Source organism: Homo sapiens, chromosome 11 (genome assembly GCF_000001405.40).
Source record: "Homo sapiens chromosome 11, GRCh38.p14 Primary Assembly".
Taxonomy (NCBI): Eukaryota; Metazoa; Chordata; class Mammalia; order Primates; family Hominidae; genus Homo; species Homo sapiens.
Window position 1 is genome coordinate 100,433,204 of NC_000011.10, and position 23,333 is coordinate 100,456,536.

Genomic DNA, 23,333 nt, shown 5'->3' on the forward strand with positions numbered 1-23,333 from the left:
TGAAGGTTGCCAGGTGGAGGTTGCCAGGGGGAGGGTGCTATGTGAAAATGCTATGTAAATTGTATACTTTTTACAAGTGGTTCAGTTCTCCTGTCCAGCACATTTCCATGGGACTGCCCAGTAAGTTCCCCCAAATAAACCCCGTGTTTCATTTGCTGGCTCTGGGTCTCTTCTTTGATCTCTTAAACCTGGTGCCATCCCTATTGAAGTTAATAGGAGTCTGGCATAACACCTGCTTAGCAACATCAGCAAAGAAAATAATTAAGAAAGCTATGACACTAACAGTGCAGCGTGTTGAGCACTAGCCTCCAAAAAGACGTGATCAGTTCCAATACATCAAACCTGCAAAGGTGACCTTATTTGAAAAAGGGGTCTTCGCAGTTGTAATTAAGTTAAGGATCTTAAGATGAGAATATCCTGGATTTAGCATGGGTCCTAAATCCAATGACTGGTGTCTATATAAGAAGAGAGAGAGGTTAGAGACACAAAGAAATACACAGAAGGCCACATGAAGAGGGAGGCAGAGATTGGAGTAATGCTGCACAAACCAAGAAATGCCTGAGGCCACCAGAAGCTAAAATAGAGTTGTCAACCTAAAAAAAAAAAAAAGAGAACAATTTCTTCTAATATGATGAGTTTATTCAGAAGTAAACAAAAAGGATTATAATTCAGGAGGTATGGGAGGTACAGCAGTGGCAAGCCATAGGCACATCTGAAAAGGGGAGGGTAAATAGAAGCTTTTATTGGCAAAAAGGAGACATTCAGGAAAGGTGCTTAGAAACAGAGTTCATTGGTCCTACAGGGTCAAAGATATAGTTGGCATTAGTTCATTGGTGAAGATGCCATTAGGGGGCAAGTGGTCTTTCCAGAGCATCTTAGCTGAATTGCTGCAGTCCTTAAAAAATAATTTCTTGCAGGGTTATTTTAGAAAGTCCTTGAAACAGTTCTTACCTTACACAGGCAAGCATGAGTTCTCCTCCTTCATGCTTTCCCAGCTCCAATTTGTTTGGGTTTGAAAAAAGTTATTTTATGCTGGTATTTGCAACTTTCACAGGTAATGAAGTGAATTCTCCCCCAGTGCCTCCAGAGAGAACCAACCCAGCCAAAACCTTGATTTCAGATTTGTAGACACCTGAACTGTGAGAGCACGAATAAATTAAGCCACTTCATTTGTGGTAATTCATTACCAAAACCCTAGGAAACTAATCCAGACAGTATTTTAAATAAGCCACTATTGACTGGATTTGTTTTTTTATTCATGTGAATCTGTATATAAATATAAACTACATTATAATCTAATATGAATTTTGACACCTATCCAGGCCACAGACCTTTTTAGAACATACTTACAGAAAAACTGACGCACAGCACAGGTAACAGTTTAGACTTTGTTTAGTTTCAATCCAGAACCTCACAAAATAAGGAATTCTAAGAAAGTTGGCTTTCTAAGGAAAATGCCTTCTATAAAAGCAAAAATGACAAATCTAGGCATAAGAAGTTAGACCCATATGGGAAGAATTCATGCGTCCTCTCCCTGCACCACCCTCAACACATCGTGGAGTAGCACACAGGCCATGAGCAGATGCGAGACACCTGAGCTGTGGGGTCAATTGCTTCATTCTATAACTCTCAGGATGACACAGCTGACTTCCACCCTGGGCATCCTTCTCCATTTAAGCTCTGAGACATAAGGAACACCTTCCTGGAACACACACTCCACTTCTCCCACCGAACATTGGCTTCCCACTGGCGCACAACTTCACTTGTTATATAACCTGTTTGTGTAAGCTCATACTTGGCTTGGTGCCACTATTGTCTATAAAAGGTATAACTGCCCTGATGATGCTTTACGTATGGCTTGTGCCCAGAGGGAGAGAGTGAAGCTACTGACCCTGTAAAGGAAAGCCAGCTTCCTTACAGGCCAGGGAGTGCAGCTGTAAGCATAGGAGCGGCGGGAGCCGCAGAGCAGGCTGCTGAGTGGGGCTGCAGCTGGAGCAGGCAGCCGAGATAAAGGCGAACAGTGTAAGAGAGGTGTTGATGAGAAAGGCACTGAATAAAACCGTATTTTACCTGCCTACAGCCCCCTGAGTGTTCTTTCAGCTATTCAACGCCCATCCACCCACTCCACTTGGACCTCTGCATGGGCTGGAACCTGACCTTTGGCCTAACAGTCAGGAAGAGAGAAGGAGAAACAATACTTTCTAAAAATAGAGAGTGAGTTAAAAGAGAAAGATTAAAACTTTGAAATTGAGAGTGGAACAGGAGAAAAACATCAAGTGGAAAGTAAGAATGAACACATAAATGCAAATAAAGATCAAAGAGTTTCTAAATAATATGAAACAGGTGAAATTAAAGATAAAGGTAAACAGGATTAGTGGGTCAAGGACCATAAAAGTAAAGGACAGAAAAGGTTATTGTTAAAAGCTAAAACCTGTAAGATGAAAAGTAAAAGTTAAAGATGGAATTAAGGATGACAAAATATGAATCTGTGATAAAAACAACGCTCAAATAAAAAAGATTGGAGAAATGTTTGTGATAAAACGCATACAAAATGCTTTATAATTAGATGAATAGATGAGAAAATATTAGAAAGAGGAGGTACAGAAACCACAATGAAGCATGCACAGACAGGGGCCCTCCCCATTCATTGTGCTATCTCATGCCTCTGGGTTTTCGCTGTTTCTACCATGAGAAATACCTTCCTATTTTCTGTACCTGGCTAATGTCTCTATATCATTCAAAACTCACCTCAGGCACCCCTGTCTACCCAAGCTAGGTTAAATATTTCTCTGTGACCCAGCTGAGCCCTGCATGTACCTCTAATCGGTATTTCAGTCTCTTGCCCTGCCTTCTGCAGACACTTACTTTGCATTCTTTGCTGAACAACAAAGTCATATTATAATCTTTTTTCCCTGGAGAAAAATAATAAAAGAAAAAGATTTATCAAATTCTGGGGGTTTTTTGGATTAATCTATTTGGCACGTGTTTCCTGAGTTACTTGGTCTGTTCCAGGCTCTGTGCTAGGATCTGTGAATACAGAGATTAATAAAACTCAATGTCTTTCCTCAAAGAATTAATAATTGAGTTGCGGAGTTACCTTAATAAGCAAAAGTTACACCAGAGTGGCCTCAAATAATGTGAGTTTTACACATTTCAGTTAACTCATCTTGATGTCATATCCACAACTTTAAATCTTTCTGCGCCGGTAATACTTTCATTCTCCATTTTCAAAGCTACATACCTAAGTGGAATTTCGAGTTTCCTTCAGTAAAAATTTTATAACACAGTAACAGCAACAGCAGTCTATTTGAACCATCCTTGGGTAAAGCCTAGCTGGGTGTAATGCAAAACACTCCGTTGCCAGGTACCTTATTTTACCAGGCACTGTTAGGCTGACCTGATTTGCTGGAGTTGCTAAGGGCAAGTAGTTTGTAAATTCTTTTAACAATTTTAAAATACCTTTGCCTCTGAGCACAGGCATAGGTGGCAAAACTCCATAGTTTATCTACATACATAAATTCTGTTTTATGAGATGTTTCTTAGACTTGTTTTGTGACTAAAAGAAAAATCAATAATATAAATTTCAAAAAAAAATGGTTCTGCAAGAAAAATAAAACTCTTCTTCCCCTCAGATTGAAAAAAAGTTTACCAAAAGACTGGAATTGATGAATGGAGCTAACAGATCAGTGCTCACCAACCTGCTTTACATTGTCTTTGGTAGTTTCATTTTTTGCCTAACAAAAAACACTCTTCCCTCCCACGATGGCTTTAATAGAAGAACTATAAATTTCTAATGTAGGAATTTACTTAGGATGGTTATTGGGAAGGTGTACAGAACTTTTTTTTCAAGGTACATTAGTACACCACAACCTCTTTATGCTTTAGGTGATTGGCATCTATCAACATTCATCCTTTTTTGCAAAGAGAGAATTGAGAATAAGATGCATACCCTGGGACTTGGGAGTCAAAAGGCTGGGGCACTCCAGATTCTATGTCTGAGTGGTTTCATTTAGACAAATTGCTCAACCTATCTGTCCCAACTCAAAGTTGGATCTTCCACTTACAGTGCAGCAAATATCGCATGGGATTACATATATAAAACTGTGTAAATCGAGTATCAATACACAAACATAAGAGGAAATAGCCACAGCTGTCACCTGAGTTAAATGGTGAAAAAAACAAACAAACAAAACAGTGCAATTCCCTAGTTCCCTAGTTGGAGCAAACTTTACCCACTGGCACAATAAGATATGACTTCAGGAACCTCAAAAAAGTACTTTTATCCCCAAAATACTATGAAAAAATTGCTGCTTACTAATGACATAAAGTCCTTCACTTGAAGGCAAGGAGAAAGGAAAAGAGAAAGGACATCAAAAGAGAAAGGAAAGGGGGAAGGAAAGGCAAGGTGAAGGGAAAGGGAAGGAAGGAAAGAGAAACCTCTTATTCTGTAATTAGAAATAAAATCAAAATGAAAATGTGAAAACATTTTTGATAATAAAGCTGAATCCAGAACACCCTGGAATAAACAAGATAAATGTATTTAATTGAAATACAAGAAGGAATGAACTAATAATAAGTTAAATAAGGCAAGAAAAAAATTAGCTCGGACCAAGAAAAAGTTCAGTTCGACAACAGGAAGAAGTTATTTATTATAAAAATAAAATTATATATTAAGTTATAGCAATGATGAAAGGCCATCTCATGGTATAAGAACAAGGTAGAAGTAAATTTAGGCTTAGGACAAATCTGACAAGTTTAGAAGATGTAAGACAAAAGAGCCAGCATCATTCATATATGCCAGGCATTATTCCAAGTGCCTTACATGTATTAATTCATTTAAACTTTTAACAACTTGAAGGAGAATGATCACTTTTTACAGATGGAAAAATTAAGGTGTGAAAACTAACATAACTTTGTAAAAACTGTTGTCATTATTTCCTTGAAATACCAGCTGTTATGCTGCTAATATTTCCTATGCCTGTATGATTTTCATTCATCGAATTGGAGATGTTAATCTCAAATTTAATGTTTTGAAAGCTGGATTAATATTTAAGCCAATCAGAAGAGACTGTACAATTTTATTGTCTGGGCCATGGGAGTAAATGAAATCAATAAATTTTCCCTGAATTAACCTTGGGGACAATGAACCACTCCTTGCTTCTGGAAAGAAAGAGGAGGAAAAGGCTACATAAAAATAGTCTCAGACTCCGGGGATGTGGTGTTGTGTTCCAACAACTGAGAATTGTTCTGGATGGTACCCAAACCTAAGCTCACTCCCCAGGTATCCACCTGATGTCAAACACAGCTTTGCTTTAGAAGGAGCCAATACCAATACCATGTGTACCGTGTGCTTTAAAAGTCTTATTACTAGCTTAGGGAATTCAGAATGTTCACATTTGGAGTATGGGAGTGACTAAAGACTATAAATAGCCTCATATCAGAATGGGATAGCTTTGATGTAAAACAGGTTTGCCACACACTTCAGAAAATCCTTTCAGCTTTTGTATTTGAATTGTGAACATGTTCCAGTATTCCTTAGGGCTAAACCAAAGAAAGTGATCTAGTGGAAAGTTATGACCTCCAGGAGACCCATACTAGAATATAAGACTTCCTGAATGGGGCTAATTACTAGAAAGAGTGGCCTCTGGTGAGTTGATTGTGTCCGGTCTCTCAGGAAGTGACCTGTACCACCCAGAACTTCTAGTCAGGTTCTCCCTTTCCTTCTCTTTAGTCAGAACATTTAATTATAACCATGGCACCAAAAACCCACTCTGCACAACAAAGTGCAGTTCAGTGAAAATAACTGTTAATAAACAGCATGGAAAGCATGATCACATTGATATGTAGCATCATTTGATCGTGGAATGCATCAAAAACTCTTTCACAGAGTTGTGAACTAAACTAGCTGTATTAGTTATCTATTGCTATATAACAACGTACTTTGAAATTTAGCAGCTAAAAATGACAAACAATATGTTACACTTTCTATGAGTCAGGAATATGTGTGTACGTGTTGCTCAGCTGGGTATCTCTTGAGTTCTCTCACCAGTTTACAGTCAAGCTGCCTGCTGGGGTTGCAGCCTCTTCTGAAGATCTGAGGAAGGCTGGCTGAGGGGAGAGGTGTCTACTTCTGAGTTCAATCACATGGGTATTGGAAGGCCTCGGTCCCTCACCACTTGAAACATTTCACAGTTGCCTCACAACACAGCAGCTGGCTTCCCTCAGAGCTAGTGACCCAAGAGTAAGAGAGAGCAGGCCTCAAATGGAAGCCATTGGGTTTTTTTTTTCTTTTTGAAAATTAAACACTTTGAGGCAACATCTCATTATCTTTGCCATTTTGTTTTTTAAGGGTGCATCAGTATATCCTGCCATACTCAAAAAAGTAGAGATTATACAAGGGTGGGAATATTAGGAGCTGGGGATCATTTGAAAGTCATCTTAGAGGTGGACAGAGAATTCTGGAACTCAGTAAATATTTAGACACAGTCTTTGTTTAAGAGACCTCACTGTCTGGTTTTAAAAAAAATACCTAGTATATACCACTTCCTAATGGTTAAAGTAACTCCTTTGTATTTCTTCATGTAGAATAAGGACAATCATATTGTGATGAGACTATTCTCCAGAAAATTTGCAACTTTCTCCCACTTGTTTTTTTCCTGATATGAAACCAGTCAACATTATATTCAATACCACTGAGAAAGTGATCCTGGGAAGGAACACAGTAATAGAAAGCAACAGATTTATGACTAAAGTTTGTAATAGTATGCAGCCAAATTCCTGAGCATAGATCTTGTAGGAAAGTAAAAATTGAACTAGAGCAGTAAGAAGTAAATATTGGTTTTGAGCATGTAATGAGTCCTTATTTCTCTCTTTTTCTTAAGACTGATGATTTAATATAATTTTTTAGAGTAAATTTACTTTGCTACAAAAAGAACACTGTAAATAAACAACTAGAAAAAGTCTGGATGAATTGACAACATTAACCATAATTCTGTCTAAATTGTGATGTTATAGGTAAGTTTATTTTCTCCTAAGTCTTTTATATTTTCTAAAATTTTTACTACATAAAAGTATACTTTCATGCTACATATTGATTATTGTGATGAAACAAGAGGAAGAGAAAACTCTAGAATAAAAATTTTGCCAAAAATAGATGTTTTCCCACTGAACTTTATCATCCATTTCTAGGCAAATGTTATTCTTTATTTCTTAATATTGAAGACTGTGGTGTCTACATGAAATATATGGCAGCATAACTCATGATCTCTCCTCCCACACCTCACCACATAGATTTAGTGCGTGTACTCCCTCACATAGTTAGTGTCTATTGTGCCTCCTTTTTCTTATGTGGAACACTAGACACTTACATAAAAATGTAAAAGGCATGGACCCTGTCCTTGTGATGTCCATAATCCATTCGAGTTGACAGACTTATAAACCAAGAGTTAAAATACAGGGTACTAAATGTTTTAATTGAGGTATGTACAATTATATACCTCTAAGCTCAGAGAATAGAGATTCTAAATTTGTCTGGAATGCAGCAAGGTTTCATAGAGAATAGGATATAATCATATTACTAATCTTCCTGTAATTGAAGTATAAGTTTCCTCTATCTTGAGTCAGATGGGAGGGAAATAGCTTGTGCGAAGGTATGGAAATTAGAGACAGCATGACATGAAGAGAAAGCAAGTCATTTTTTGTGTGATTTGAGTCTAATGAGAGTGTGTTTGAGGAAGAATGAAGGCTAAAAGTGGAGGAAAGTGGGATAAAATCTTTACAAAACACAAATCAGATAAAGAAATGGTATCTAAAGTATATAAAGAATAGTTAAAATTCAACTAAAGAAAACAAGCAACTCAATTTAAAAATGAGCAAAGGATCTAAATAGATGCCTCATCAGAGAAGACACACAGATGGCACATAAGCATATGGAAAGATACTCAACATCATATGTCACTAAAAATGCAAATTAAAACAAGATACCACTACACCTATTAGAATGGCTGAAATCCAAACACTGACAACACCAAATGCTGGCAAGGATGTGGAGCAAAAGGAACTTTTACTCATTGCTCATGGAAATACGAGAGGTACAGCCACTTTGGAAGATACTATAGCAGTTTCTTACAAAATGAAACATAATCTTACCATGTGATCCAATCATACTCCTTGGTATGTATCCACATGAGCTGCAAATGTACATAAACTCCAAAATCTGCACATGAATTTTTATACCAACTTTATTCATGATTGCCAAAACTTGGAAGCAACCAAGATGTCCTTCAATAGGAAAATAAATTTAAAAACTTGTATATTCACACAATGGACTATTATTCAATGATTAAGAAGAGATGCACTAACATGCCACCAAAGGACATGGAAGAACCTTAAATACATATTGCTAAGTGAAAAAAAAAGCCAATCTGAAAAGCTTTCTATCATTTGATTCCAACTATATGACCTTCTGGAAAAGGCAAAACTATGGAGATAGTTAGATCAGGGGTTGTCGGGGTTTATGGAGAGGGAGGATAATGATATTTAAGGGCAGTGAAACTATAATTCTGTATGACACTATAATGGTGGATACATGTCATTATATATTTGTTGAATTCCATAGAATGCAAACAGAAAGAATAAATCCTAATGTGAATGATGAAATTCAATTAATAATATGTCAATACTGGCTCATCAATTGTGACATACGTACCACACCAATGCAAGATATTAAAAAATAGGCAATATTGGTGGGGGAAGAGGGGTATATGAAGTGCTCTCTGTAGTTTTTACTCAATTTTTCTATAAACCAAAAACTGCTCAAAAAATTAATAAAGTCTATTAATTTTATTAATTTTTTTAAGTGGAAGAAAATGATGAAGAGAGAGATTGGTGTTGATATATAAGAAGCTTCATAAGCTATTGTTACGGTCACTTGTTTCTATGTAACCAACCACTCCAAACTTGATGTCTCGGAAGCAAAGTTATTTCACAATCTCTGAGTTATATAATCGGCAAGACTCAACTGGCTCAAAGTCACATGGTGATATTCAGCTGGTAGCTAGGCTGCAAAAGAGGATCAAAGGCTGCTTCTTTTATATATCTGGCACCTTGGTTGGGAAGGCTACAAAGCAGGGCTTAGCTGGGCCACTCTCCTTCTTCTGGTTGTTTCAGGGTTTCTCCACACAGATTCTCCAGAAAGATAGTTGAACTTCTTATCTGGCAGCTCAGTTTCCAAGAGTGGGTGCTCCAAAAGACAGGAAGTAGATTCTGTCAGTTTCTTAAAACCTGGGCCTTTAAACTGGCAAAGTATGACTTCTACCATATCTATTGAAAAAAGCAGTCATGGATTCTGCCCAGATTCAAGGGAAGAAGACATAGACACCACCTCTCAATGAGAGAAGTATCAGAGCCTTGGCGATCATCATTGATCTATCACAACCAACAGATAGAATTTGAATTCTACCTTGCAGTAAATGGGAGCTACTGAAAGATTTTTATCTAGAGAGAGACATACTAGTATGAGTTATAGCAGTCTGAAACAGGATATGAGAAGGAAGAAAATTACAGGAAGGAAGCCCAGTCACTCATTATCACAGAATTTTTACTTTTTATGTTTTAACTGGCTTCTTCCAGAGGGGGTTGAAGCCAATTTCAATGTCTTGGTTGTAAAGATGGTTATTTGTGGCTAAGATATTGCATCAATCTCAACTAGTAAACTTCCATGTGTGTTGGGGTATTGTCCCTCCAACTAGACTATAAGCTCCCTGAAGACAAACTGTGTAACTCCAAAGCACCAAGCATTTTGTAAATGCTCAGAAAAAAGGAATTTTGTAAATGCTCAGAAAAAAGGAAAAAATAATGAAAAAAGGAAAATACGACCGAGTGTGGTGGCACACACCTGTAATCCCAGCACTTTGGGAGGCCAAAGAGGACACATCACGAGGACAGGAGATGCAGACCATCCTGGCTAACACGGTGAAACCCCGTCTCTACTAAAAATACAAAAAACTTAGCTAGGCATGGTGGCGGGAGCCTGTAGTCCCAGCTACTAGGGAGGCTGAGGCAGGAGAATGGCATGAACCCAGGAGGCAGAGCTTGCAGTGAGCTGAGATCATGACACTGCACTCCAGCCTGGGCGACAGAGTGAGGCTCTGTCTCAAAAAAAAAAAAAAAAAAAAAAAAAAAAGGAATATACAAGATTTATCCAATTAACAAATATTTATTGAGCTTTTGATATGTACTAGGCATTGATCTTGATTCTTGCAGTATATTAGTGAACAAGAGACAATGATGCATCTCCTCATGAGTTAACATTTTAAGTCTACAAAACTCATGATGAAGAGGGAAGAGCTCCTGAAAGTGTTGTGCTAAGAGAATCTGTTACTTTTCCCATGCTTCTCACCTGAGTGCTGTTTCCATAAAACTTGAAAAGTTCTTTTTTCTATAAATGGCAAATGACCTTGGAGTTAGAAATTACTTTGTCTCTGTAAATAGACAACTATTTTACTCAACACTACAGGGTCTATAAGTCAACCGAGACAATCAAGTAACAGTAGCATATTAATCTGAAGAGAGAATCTTGCCCTTGCAGGCATTTCTTCATTTGAATGTACAGCTCCAACTACTGTTATGATAGCAAAATCCTAGTTGCACTCAGGTGACAACAAGATTTCCATTTATGTCTTGTCCAAGGCTATTTATTTTTGCTTTATCAAATCTGTGTAAGTATCCAAAAAAGTTTCTAAGTCTTTGGATATATACACATCCCAAATAAAAGATGTTTACCCCTGATGCAGTTAATTACATAATTGGATTTGAAACAGAGACAGACAGATAGCTTACCATCAGTATGAAGTTATAGAAACAAAAGGTTTCCTATAAAGATCAAAATCGGAGATTTACATAACTATCTACTACAATAATTTTGTCTTCTACTCTACATTTTTTTTTTTTTTTTTTTTGAGACGGAGTCTCGCTTTGTCTCCTAGGCTGGAGTGCAGTGGTGCGATCTCCGCTCACTGCAAGCTCCGCCTCCCGGGTTCACGCCATTCTCCTGCCTCAGCCTTCTGAGTAGCTGAAACTACAGGCGCCCGCCACCAGGCCTGGCTCATTTTTTTGTATTTTTAGTAGAGACGGGGTTTCACCGTGTTAGCCAGGATGGTTTTGATCTCCTGACCTCGTGATCTGCCCGCCTCAGCCTCCCAAAGTGCTGGGATTACAGGAGTGAGCCATCGTGCCCGGCCTCTATTCTACATTTTAAGTCATATTTTTTAAAAGTATATTAGTAAGCATAGCTTATAAAAAGCAGACCTCAATAAGTTTAATCAGATCATATTTATAACAAATTAACTGGTCTGAAAAATTGAGGAAAATATGTAAAGTGCATATCTAGATATAAGCAATATTATCTCCTTTTTCTTTCATGTTTAATTCAAACCAAATTTATTGAATAGCTACTATATGCCAGGCATTGTGCTAGGAACCTAGAATTAACATCCAAGAAGACAGTGTCCTTGCCCCATTAAATATTCACAATATTGAGAAAGATATATAGAAATACAACATTTTACTTAAAAGTACATTTTGCTTTGTGCCTTCCTAACAAATTAAATTTTTAATGGCAAGAGTACAGAGAAATTGAAACTTTCATGTATTGCTGATGGGAATATAAATTGATTGAGCTAAATCTAGAGTGTATTTTTGTGACACTTATCAAAAGCCTTTAATACATGCTTACTCCAGCAATTTCATTTCCAGGAACTCAGCCTGAAAACACAATCACGAATCAGCACAAAGATATATCTTAAAGAAATTTCATCACACGATTTTTTAAGATTTTAAAATTATCAACACTTAATACCAAAAATGGAGAACTTAGTCAAGTCATTTTATAATGTATGATGAAATAGTGAATAGCCATTTACAATAATATTATAGATAATATGGAAAAATGTTGGCTATATTGTCTTTTCTTAAAGAGAAACAACATGTACAATATAGTGGTATTTTTGCTTTTAAAAATGTATATATGGGTTGGGAGAACTGGCAGGTACCTCCTCTTATTGTCCCCATCAGCAGGAGGCCAGAAATCAAAAGAATTTAATCATAGTTGGCACCATTCCTTCTGGCACCAAAAAGAACAGTCATTGACAACCAGCGTGGTTGTTCTTGTGATTCAGCCAAGTTTCAGGTCTGGCAAAATCAGAGCCAAATGCTTCTCAGCATAGCAATAGAGCAGTCTGTTGTTCACAAAGGACAAAACACAAAACCCAAGCTGATAGGAAAAATGTCCTTTCCTCATTACAGGCAAGCCTGCATTTTTTCAGAGGAAAATTAATGCTTGTCTTTGTGAGAAGGATGTACTTTACAGGTGATTTATTGAAGGGAAACTGCTCTCAAAGGTGAAGAGGCTGAACTGGTGTTAAGAGACTGGCATTCACCCTTCTTCACGGGAAAGAGGTCCATTGCCCTCTATGGCTGGCTACTGTCTAGTGCAGGAGGCAGCAAATTATGGCCCACAGGCCAAGTCAAACCTACCACCTGTTTTTATGTGGCTCACAAGCTAAAAATAGTTTTTACATTTTTATATAGTAGAAAAACACAATTAAAAAAATATGTGACATATAATGTGACACTTGAAAATTATATGAAAGTTAGATTTCAGTGACCATAAATAAGGTTTTATTGGAGCACAGCCATACTCATTTATTTATGTATTGTCTGTGGCTGCTTTCTGCCTCAGTGGTGGAGCTGAGTAGATGCAACAGAAAGCATATGGCCCCCCAAGCCTAAATTTTTTTCTCCTTGACATTTTTCAAAAAAGATTTGCCAAACCCTGGTCTAATGGAGAGATTCCTGGTGTGCTCAAGTGGCACTCGAGTTTGCAATACCTCCAGTAAAAAGTCTGAAATTTCCAATGGAAGGATGTGCGTTACAACTGCAATGGTTTGACATACTCCCTCCTTTCTTTGAAGGTTGCAAAGTAGATTTTGAGTGCTGGTCACAGTAAAGGCTAGCAAAGATTCTCTCCTTCAGGAACAAAAATGGAAGAGAGTCTTGCCACTTACGTTGTGTTACATATAAATGTAACATAATCATCAATATCCAGTGCCACCTCAATCCCCATTTCATGGGTCAGTTTCCTCTAAAATACTTTGAAAAGTGAAGCTTTTCTTACATTTCCCAAGTTGTCTGCTCACAAGCTTCTCCTGAAGATAAATTTCTTTTAGCTCTGCCGTGAAGCCCTGAGCATCTGCTGCTGCTCTTGATCCAAAAGTCTTAGACTCTGACTCTTATGTGGAAATCACTCTCTCTATATAGTGCTAGCAAATAGGTCAGTGTGCAGTATCCCACCCTTTTATTCTCTACAAGACTACTAGGTATGCCTATAAAGACACAAATTACTTTCTGCTCCCAGCTTTTTGTCTCTTTCTTAGGAGTTTTCTTCATCTAACCTCCCCTATGCAGGTTCTTTTCTACCTCCCAGGAAAGCTAGAAGACAAATAAGCGTTGGTCTTGCTTCAGGATTTGTTTCCTACTTCCCTCCTGCTGCCCAAGGAGAATTTTTCCCAAGTGTGAAGGGCATTCCAGCAGGATGATTGATTATGGCCATTACATCTCAGACCATGCAGACAATGGTAGGTGGCTCTGAAACTCCAAGTCTCAGATAAAATTATAAGCCCTCTGCTATGGACTGAAAGTTTATTCTTCTCCAAAGAGGAGAAGCCCTAACCCCCATGGTATTAGGAGATGGAGCCTTTGGGAAGTACCTAGGCGTAGATGAGCTCTTGACAGTAGAGCCCCCCGGGATGAGATTACTGCCCTTATAAGAAGAGGAAGATCTTTCTCTCTCTCTCTCTGTCTCTCTCTCTCTCTCTCTGTCTTTCTCTCTATCTCTCTCCCCCACATGCACACACCAAGGAAAGGCCATGTGAACATATAGTGAGAAAGTGGCTGTCTGCAAGCCATCAAGAGGGCCTCACTAGAACCTAACCATGCTAGCACATTGATCTTGGAGTTCCAGCCTCCAGAACTGTGAAAAAATAAGTGTTATTTAAGCCACCCAATCTTCGGTATTTTATTATAGCAGTCCATGCTGACTAAGATAGAAATTGATACCAAGAAGTGAGGTGCACTGTAACAAAGAGCTAGAAGTGTGGAAGCAGCTTTGGAACTGGGTAATGGGTAGAGGTTGGAAGAGTTTTTGGGTGTCTGCTAGAAAAGGCCAAGATGGCTGTGAAGAGAGTGCTACAGTTGATTCTGGTGAGGACTCAGAAAGAAAAGGAGAACTATAGAAAAAGTGTCCATCTTCTAAGAGAGCACATAAATAATCATGAACATAATGTTGGTAGAACTATGGATGATAAAGGCCATTCTGGTGAGGCCTCAGATGGAAATGAAGAACCTATTATTGGACAATGGACAAAGGATGATCCTAGTTATAAAGTGGCAGAGAACTTGGCTGAATTGTGTTTGTGTTCTAATGTTTTGTGAAAGGTAGAACTTATGAGCAATGAAACTGGATATTTAGCCAAAGAGATTTTTAAGCAAAATGTTGAACATGCAGCTTAGTTATTCCTGACTGCTTATCATAAAACAAAGGAAAAGATATAAATTGAAGAAGGAATTGTTAAGAAGAAAAGGACCAGAACTTAAAGATTTGTAAAATTCTCAGTCTATCCATATTGCAGAGAATACCAAGAGTGGGGCTGAACAACTGTTTGATAAGGAGATTAGTATGAGTGTGAGCCACAGACATCATCAACCACCTAAGGGTAAACACTGCCAGTTATAACTGAAGAGAATGCAGATGGGATAAAATGGAAGAAAGCTATTGGACTTCTTAGGTCCTACAGAACTGTATCGTAAGGCTATATGGATGTGAATAAGCACTGATCTTTGAGACAAGGGAAAAACAACCCCGAAGATGATTCAGAAATCATCAGACATCTCTGATGTTTCAGTTTCAATATGGTAGGGCCATTGCCTCAATTTCAACAGGCCAGAGGGCAGCCACCTAGAACTGTGGAGGCAGGCTCCCTGAGCCTTGGTTACCCAACCTCCATCTAGCAGAGTCCTGAGGGTGCAACCCTCCACAAAGCATTACTGTAGAAGTGGGACTGCATCCCCAGTGGGTCCAAAAGGCAAAGCATCAAACCAGAGAGGATTATCCTGGAGCCTTGAGATCTAGTGGAATTTGTCAAGATAGGTTTGGGACTTGCTTGGAACTTGTTCCTTTTTTCCTTCCAATTTCTCTCTTTTGGAATAGAAATGTCTATTTTATACTTGTCCCACCATCGCATTTTGCAAGCACATAATTTATCTGGATTTGAAGGTTTGCCATTAAAGAGGAATTTTCCCTCAGGATGAATGGTGACTCAAGTCTCATTGTTGTCTGATGTAGATAATGTTAGATGAGACTTTAGAGTTGATGCTGAAACAATTAAGACATTTGGGACTGTTGGGATGGAATCAATGTATTTTGCACGTGAGAAAGGCATGAATTTTGGGGAGCCCAGGTAGAATGTTATAGACTAAATGTTTGTGTTCCCCCCAAACTCATATACTGAAGCCTTAACTCCCAATGTGAGTTATTAGGAGGTGGTGCATTTGGGAGGTAATTCGGTTTGTATGAGATTATGAGGGTGGAATCCACATGATGGGACTAACGCCCTTATAAGAGAAAGACACATCAGAGCTTCCTCTTCCTGCCATGTGAGGATACAGCAAGAAGGTGGCCATCTACAGCCCATAAAGAATGCCTTTCCCCAAGAACCAAATCTGCTGGAACCTTGATCTTGGGCTTTCCAACCTTTAGACCTATGAGAAATAAATGTCTGTAGTTGAAGCCACCCAGCCTATTGTATTTTGTTATGAAGTATGGCTTCAAAGTAGTTACAATAATAGGATATTGAATATCTACCATTAAGGGAAGCCCAAAAGTGTGAGAACTCTATGTTCAGTTCAATCAGAGAGTTCAATTATTTTATCAAGGCTTGAAGTTCTTTCTTTCCCTCTACTCAGCAATCCTCAGTATCAGTTTCATCCTGAAAGTGATCTCTAATTACTTCAAGTTAACCATCTTTGGACATTAGAACTTCACACTTTCTTGTTTATACTGAACAGAAAAGAGAAAGAAAGACCTCTCCCACACTCATGGAATATATGTCCTTTTCTACAATCTGAATTGTCAAAATAAGTCATGTATCAACCCTGATCCAATAGTAGTCTTCAAAGGAAGGTCTTATGTTAAATAGGTTAAATAGCTTAAACTAATCAGGTTCTACCTCCTCTGCAGTGGAGTCAGCTTTCCCAGGACTAGAAGGCTGAGGTGGATATCTGAACTTAGGTTCTGTCAGAAAAGAGGAAAAGGGGAATAAATACCAGGTGGGTAACAACATTATCCACTGCACAGTGGTATATCTAACTCTAATCAAGGTTCAGTTTTATGTATGAATTCAAGTTCTGGGATTCATTAAGGTCCCCAGTTTGTGGAAGATACTGAATAACTTTCAAAAGAACAATAACTGCCTAAAAATGTTTACATATATTAATGTATCAATGAAAAGCCATCAGATTTCACATACCATGACTTAGAATATAATTATATTCTTGCAAAGATGACTTCAAGTTATAAATAAACTTCTAAAGCCAAAAGCATTGTCATTTTCAACTGAAAACCAAAAGAAGTCTAAAGTTTTATAGTAAATTATTTACTACTTTTAGCACTTTGACCATAGATTTTCAGTTAACTTTCTCCAGGTTATCAGAAAGTTCATGCATAAACTTTTTTTCCTGTTTCCTCAGGGCAGTCTAACCTTGCTTCTATCCAACTACAGAGAATAGTAAAGAATAACCATTATTAATGGGCTCTTGAAATCCCAATCTCTATCCAGAAGGTAAGGAATATTATTTATGAGTTCTCCCATAATCACTGATGACCTCAATCAGAATTTGAACCAAATCTTTTACAGATTTGGTCTCTAGTAGATAACACATCTCTACAATAAAAGTCAAAAGTTTAAAAATAACCCAAGCAAACTAGGTTAAAATATAATAGCAGTCATTTAGCACTGACCCCTTAGATAGAGCTCTTGAGGCTTCTGCTCATAGAAATTATGAGTACTTTGATAATCTTCATGTTTTTTCTCATCTTTCTGTTTATACAAGTTCCTCTAATTATGAACTGGTACACCTCTCTCTTCATTCATTATCATATTTAAATTTAATTGAAAAAGTAATATCCTTACAATTTATAAATGGTCTTTTGACAGTACTTTACTACAGTAAAGCAATTTCCTGACTTTCGTTAATGACTAGACTGATATCTTTTTAAAACTGAACAATGGATCATTAAAATTATTATTCACCATCTGGGTCTCCTTGAAAGCTTGTTTGAGGCCAAGCTGTTATTTCTACTGAAGAAAAGAAAACGGACCAAGCTAGGAGTACCCAATAGGCCTATAACATATACTTATAAAATTTTTTCTCAGATAGGGCATGTACTTGATTAGCCTCTAGCAGTCAAAAATGCAAGAAATACAGATAAATACTTAGCAATTTACAGTTCTAAGTCTTAGGAACAAAGCAATAGGGACTATCCAAAAGGTGAATCAAAGGCCGACTACATCTGACACACAACTGTTGAAAAGTAATTTTAAACCATCAAACAGACAGTGTTTTGAACACAACTAGTCACTGAGTTATTCTGTGACCCCATGTGGCTATTTTCCCAGGATGTTGTCAAAGCAGAGTCTGGAGAAGTCTCCCTACTCTTGAATCCCAGCTCTGAAGCTTAATAGCTGTGTAACCTTGAACAAATCACTTGACCTCTCTATTCATCACTTTCCTCATCTGCAAAATAGAGATAATAATTATAATGTCATCTTCATGGTCATTTATAAGTGTTAAACGAAGGGATGTATGTAAGGCATGTAGAACATTTTGCACACTCTAAGCCCTTCTACCTGTCATCTATTATGATCAATTTTTAAAAAGAAGCATATGAGTTATATATCAAATGAAGTCATTTTCAAACTGGTTTTATTTCAGGAAGACTATCTCAATATCTATAAAAGTATTTAATGCACTAATGGATTATATTAATAAAAATCAGGGTCATTCATTACTTTATTCAATAAATATTTATTGAGCATCTACCATGTGTCAGGCAATATTTTGGGTGCTAGGGACACAACAGTGAATAAAAGAAGAAAAGAAATCCCTGTCATCATAGAGCTTACAATCAGTCAACCAGTAATAAAAATAAGTAAATTATATAATATAGAAAATGATATATATTATGTATAAAAATAAATGGGGAAGGAGACAGGAAGAGTCAAGGAAAGGGTAGAGGGTATAGTTTTAAGTAGGGTGGTCAGGGGAGGACTCACTAAGAAGGTAACTTTTGAGCAAAGACTTGAAGAAGGTGAGGGAGAAAGCCACGAGAAAGCCAGGAGTAGAGTATTCCAGGTAGGTTGAAATGTCAGTGCAGTCACGCTAGGCTCAGGAATAGCAGAAGTCAGTTTGGCTGGAGGATAATGGAGATGAGGAAATAAGGTTAAAGACAAAATGGGGACCACATCATAGGAACTGGTAGGTCATAATGAGAACTTGGCTTTTTCTACTAAGTGACATAGAAAGTCATTGAATGGTTTTGGGGGGAGGAGCCAAGATGGCCGAATAGGAACAGCTGTGGTCTACAGCTCCCAGCGTCAGCGAAGCAGAAGACGGGTGATTTCTGCATTTCCATCTGAGGGACCGGGTTCATCTCACTAGGGAGTGCCAGACAGTGGGCGCGAGTCAGTGGGTGTGCGCACCGTGCGTGAGCCGAAGCAGGGCGAGGCATTGCCTCACCTGGGAAGTGCAAGGGGTCAGGGAGTTTCCTTTCCGAGTCAAAGAAAGGGGTGATGGTCACACCTGCAAAATCGGGTCACTCCCACCCGAATATTGCGCTTTTCGGACCGGCTTAAAAAACTGCGCACCATGAGATTATTTCCCGCACCTGGCTCAGAAGGTCCTATGCCCACGGAGTCTCGCTGATTGCTAGCACAGCAGTCTGAGATCAAACTGCAAGACGGCAGCGAGGCTGGGGGAGGGGCGCCCGCCATTTCCCAGGCTTGCTTAGGTAAACAAAGCAGCCAGGAAGCTCCAACTGGGTGGAGCCCACCACAGCTCAAGGAGGCCAGCCTGCCTCTGTAGGCTCCACCTCTGGGGGCAGGGCACAGACAAACAAAAAGACAGCAGTATCCTCTGCAGACTTAAATGTCCCTGTCTGACAGCTTTGAAGAGAGCAGTGGTTCTCCCAGCACGCAGCTGGAGATCTGAGAACGGGCAGACTGCCTCCTCAAGTGGGTCCCTGACCCCTGACCCCCAAGCAGCCTAACTGGGAGGCACCCCCCAGCAGGGGCACACTGACACCTCACACGGCAGGGTATTCCAACAGACCTGCAGCTGAGGGTCCTGTCTGTTAGAAGGAAAACTAACAAACAGAAAGGACATCCACACCAAAAACCCATCTGTACATCACCATCATCAAAGACCAAAAGTAGATAAAACCACAAAGATGGGGAAAAAACAGAACAGAAAAACTGGAAACTCTAAAATGCAGAGCGCCTCTCCTCCTCCAAAGGAACGCAGTTCCTCACCAGCAACGGAACAAAGCTGGATGGAGAATGACTTTGACGAGCTGAGAGAAGAAGGCTTCAGACGATCAAATTACTCTGAGCTACGGGAGGACATTCAAACCAAAGGCAAAGAAGTTGAAAACTTTGAAAAAAATTTAGAAGAATGTATAACTAGAATAACCAATACAGAGAAGTGCTTAAAGGAGCTGATGGAGCTGAAAACCAAGGCTCGAGAACTACGTGAAGAATGCAGAAGCCTCAGGAGCCGATGCGATCAACTGGAAGAAAGGGTATCAGCGATGGAAGATGAAATAAATGAAGCGAGAAGGGAAGTTTAGAGAAAAAAGAATAAAAAGAAATGAGCAAAGCCTCCAAGAAATATGGGACTATGTGAAAAGACCAAATCTACGTCTGATTGGTGTACCTGAAAGTGATGCGGAGAATGGAACCAAGTTGGAAAACACTCTGCAGGATATTATCCAGGAGAACTTCCCCAATCTAGCAAGGCAGGCCAACGTTCAGATTCAGGAAATACAGAGAACACCACAAAGATATTCCTCAAGAAGAGCAACTCCAAGACACATAATTGTCAGATTCACCAAAGTTGAAATGAAGGAAAAAATGTTAAGGGCAGCCAGAGAGAAAGGTCGGGTTACCCTCAACGGGAAGCGCATCAGACTAACAGCAGATCTCTCAGCAGAAACCCTACAAGCCAGAAGAGAGTGGGGGCCAATATTCAACATTCTTAAAGAAAAGAATTTTCAACCCAGAATTTCATATCCAGCCAAACTAAGCTTCATAAGTGAAGGAGAAATAAAATACTTTACAGACAAGCAAATGCTGAGAGATTTTGTCACCACCAAGCCTGCCCTAAAAGAGCTCCTGAAGGAAGCGCTAAACATGGAAAGGAACAACCGGTACCAGCAGCTGCAAAATCATGCCAAAATATAAAGACCATCGAGACTAGGAAGAAACTGCATCAACTAATGAGCAAAATAACCAGCTAACATCATAATGACAGGATCAAATTCACACATAACAATATTAACTTTAAATGTAAATGGACTAAATGCTCCAATTAAAAGACACAGACTGGCAAATTGGATAAAGAGTCAAGACCCATCAGTGTGCTGTATTCAGGAAACCCATCTCACGTGCAGAGACACACATAGGCTCAAAATAAAGGGATGGAGGAAGATCTACCAAGCAAATGGAAAACAAAAAAAAGGCAAGGGTTGCAATCCTAGTCTCTGATAAAACAGACTTTAAACCAACAAAGATCAAAAGAGACAAAGAAGGCCATTACATAATGGTAAAGGGATCAATTCAACAAGAAGAGCTAACTATCCTAAATATATATGCACCCAATACAGGAGCACCCAGATTCATAAAGCAAGTCCTTATACACCTACAAAGAGACTTAGACTCCCACACATTAATAATGGGAGACTTTAACACCCCACTGTCAACATTAGACAGATCAACGAGACAGAAAGTCAACAAGGATACCCAGGAATTGAACTCAGCTCTGCACCAAGCAGACCTAATAGACATCTACAGAACTCTCCACCCCAAGTCAACAGAATATACATTCTTTTCAGCACCACACCACACCTATTCCAAAATTGACCACGTACTTGGAAGTAAAGCTCTCCTCAGCAAATGTAAAAGAACAGAGACTATAACAAACTATCTCTCAGACCACAGTGCAATCAAACTAGAACTCAGGATTAAGAATCTCACTCAAAACCGCTCAGCTATATGGAAACTGAACAACCTGCTCCTGAATGACTACTGGATACATAATGAAATGAAGGCAGAAATAAAGATGTTCTTTGAAACCAATGAGAACAAAGACACAACATACCAGAATCTCTGGGACGCATTCAAAGCAGTGTGTAGAGGGAAATTTATAGCACTAAATGCCCACAAGAGAAAGCAGGAAAGATCCAAAATTGACACCCTAACATCATAATTAAAAGAACTAGAAAAGCAAGAGCAAACACATTCAAAAGCTAGCAGAAGGCAAGAAATAACTAAAATCAGAGCAGATCTGAAGGAAATAGAGACACAAAAAACCCTTCCAAAAATTAATGAATCCAGGAGCTGGTTTTTTGAAAGGATCAACAAAATTGATAGACCGCTAGCAAGACTAATAAAGAAAAAGAGAGAGAAGAATCAAATAGATGCAATAAAAAATGATAAAGGGGATATCACCACCGATCCCACAGAAATACAAACTACCATCAGAGAATACTACAAACACCTCTACGCAAATAAACTAGAAAATCTAGAAGAAATGGATACATTCCTTGACACATACACTCTCCCAAGACTAAACCAGGAAGAAGTTGAATCTCTGAATAGACGAATAACAGGAGCTGAAATTGTGGCAATAATCAATAGTTTACCAACCAAAAAGAGTCCAGAACCAGATGGATTCACAGCCGAATTCTACCAGAGGTACAAGGAGGAACTGGTACCATTCCTTCTGAAACTATTCCAATCAATAGAAAAAGAGGGAATCCTCCCTAACTCATTTTATGAGGCCAGCATCATTCTGATACCAAAGCCTGGCAGAGACACAACCAAAAAAGAGAATTTTAGACCAATATCCTTGATGAACATTAATGCAAAAATCCTCAATAAAATTCTGGCAAAATGAATCCAGCAGCACATGAAAAAGCTTATTCACCATGATCAAGTGGGCTTCATCCCTGGGATGTAAGGCTGGTTCAATATACGCAAATCAATAAATGTAATCAAGCATACAAACAGAGCCAAAGACAAAAACCACATGATTATCTCAATAGATGCAGAAAAAGCCTTTGACAAAATTCAACAACGCTTCATGCTAAAAACTCTCAATAAATTAGGTATTGATGGGACGTATTTCAAAATAATAAGAGCTATCTATGACAAACCCACAGCCAATATCATACTGAATGGCCAAAAACTGGAAGCATTCCCTTTGAAAACTGGCACAAGACAGGGATGCCCTCTCTCCCCACTCCTATTCAACATAGTGTTGGAAGTTCTGGCCAGGACAATTAGGCAGGAGAAGGAAATAAAGGGTATTCAATTAGGAAAAGAGGAAGTCAAATTGTCCCTGTTTGCAGATGACATGATTGTATATCTAGAAAACCCCATTGTCTCAGCACAAAATCTCCTTAAGCTGATAAGCAACTTCAGCAAAGTCTCAGGATACAAAATCAATGTACAAAAGTCACAAGCATTCTTATACACCAGCAACAGACAAACAGAGAGCCAAATCATGAGTGAACTCCCATTCACAATTGCTTCAAAGAGAATAAAATACCTAGGAATCCAACTTACAAGGGATGTGAAGGACCTCTTCAAGGAGAACTACAAACCACTGCTCAAGGAAATAAAAGAGGATACAAACAAATGGAAGAACATTCCATGCTCATGGGTAGGAAGAATCAATATCGTGAAAATGGCCATAATGCCCAAGATAATTTACAGATTCAATGCCATCCCCATCAAGCTACCAATGACTTTCTTCACAGAATTGGAAAAAACTACTTTAAAGTTCATATGGAACCAAAAAAGAGCCCGCATCGCCAAGTCAATCCTAAGCCAAAAGAACAAAGCTGGAGGCATCACACTACCTGACTTCAAACTATACTACAAGGCTACAATAACCAAAACAGCATGGTACTGGTACCAAAACAGAGATATAGATCAATG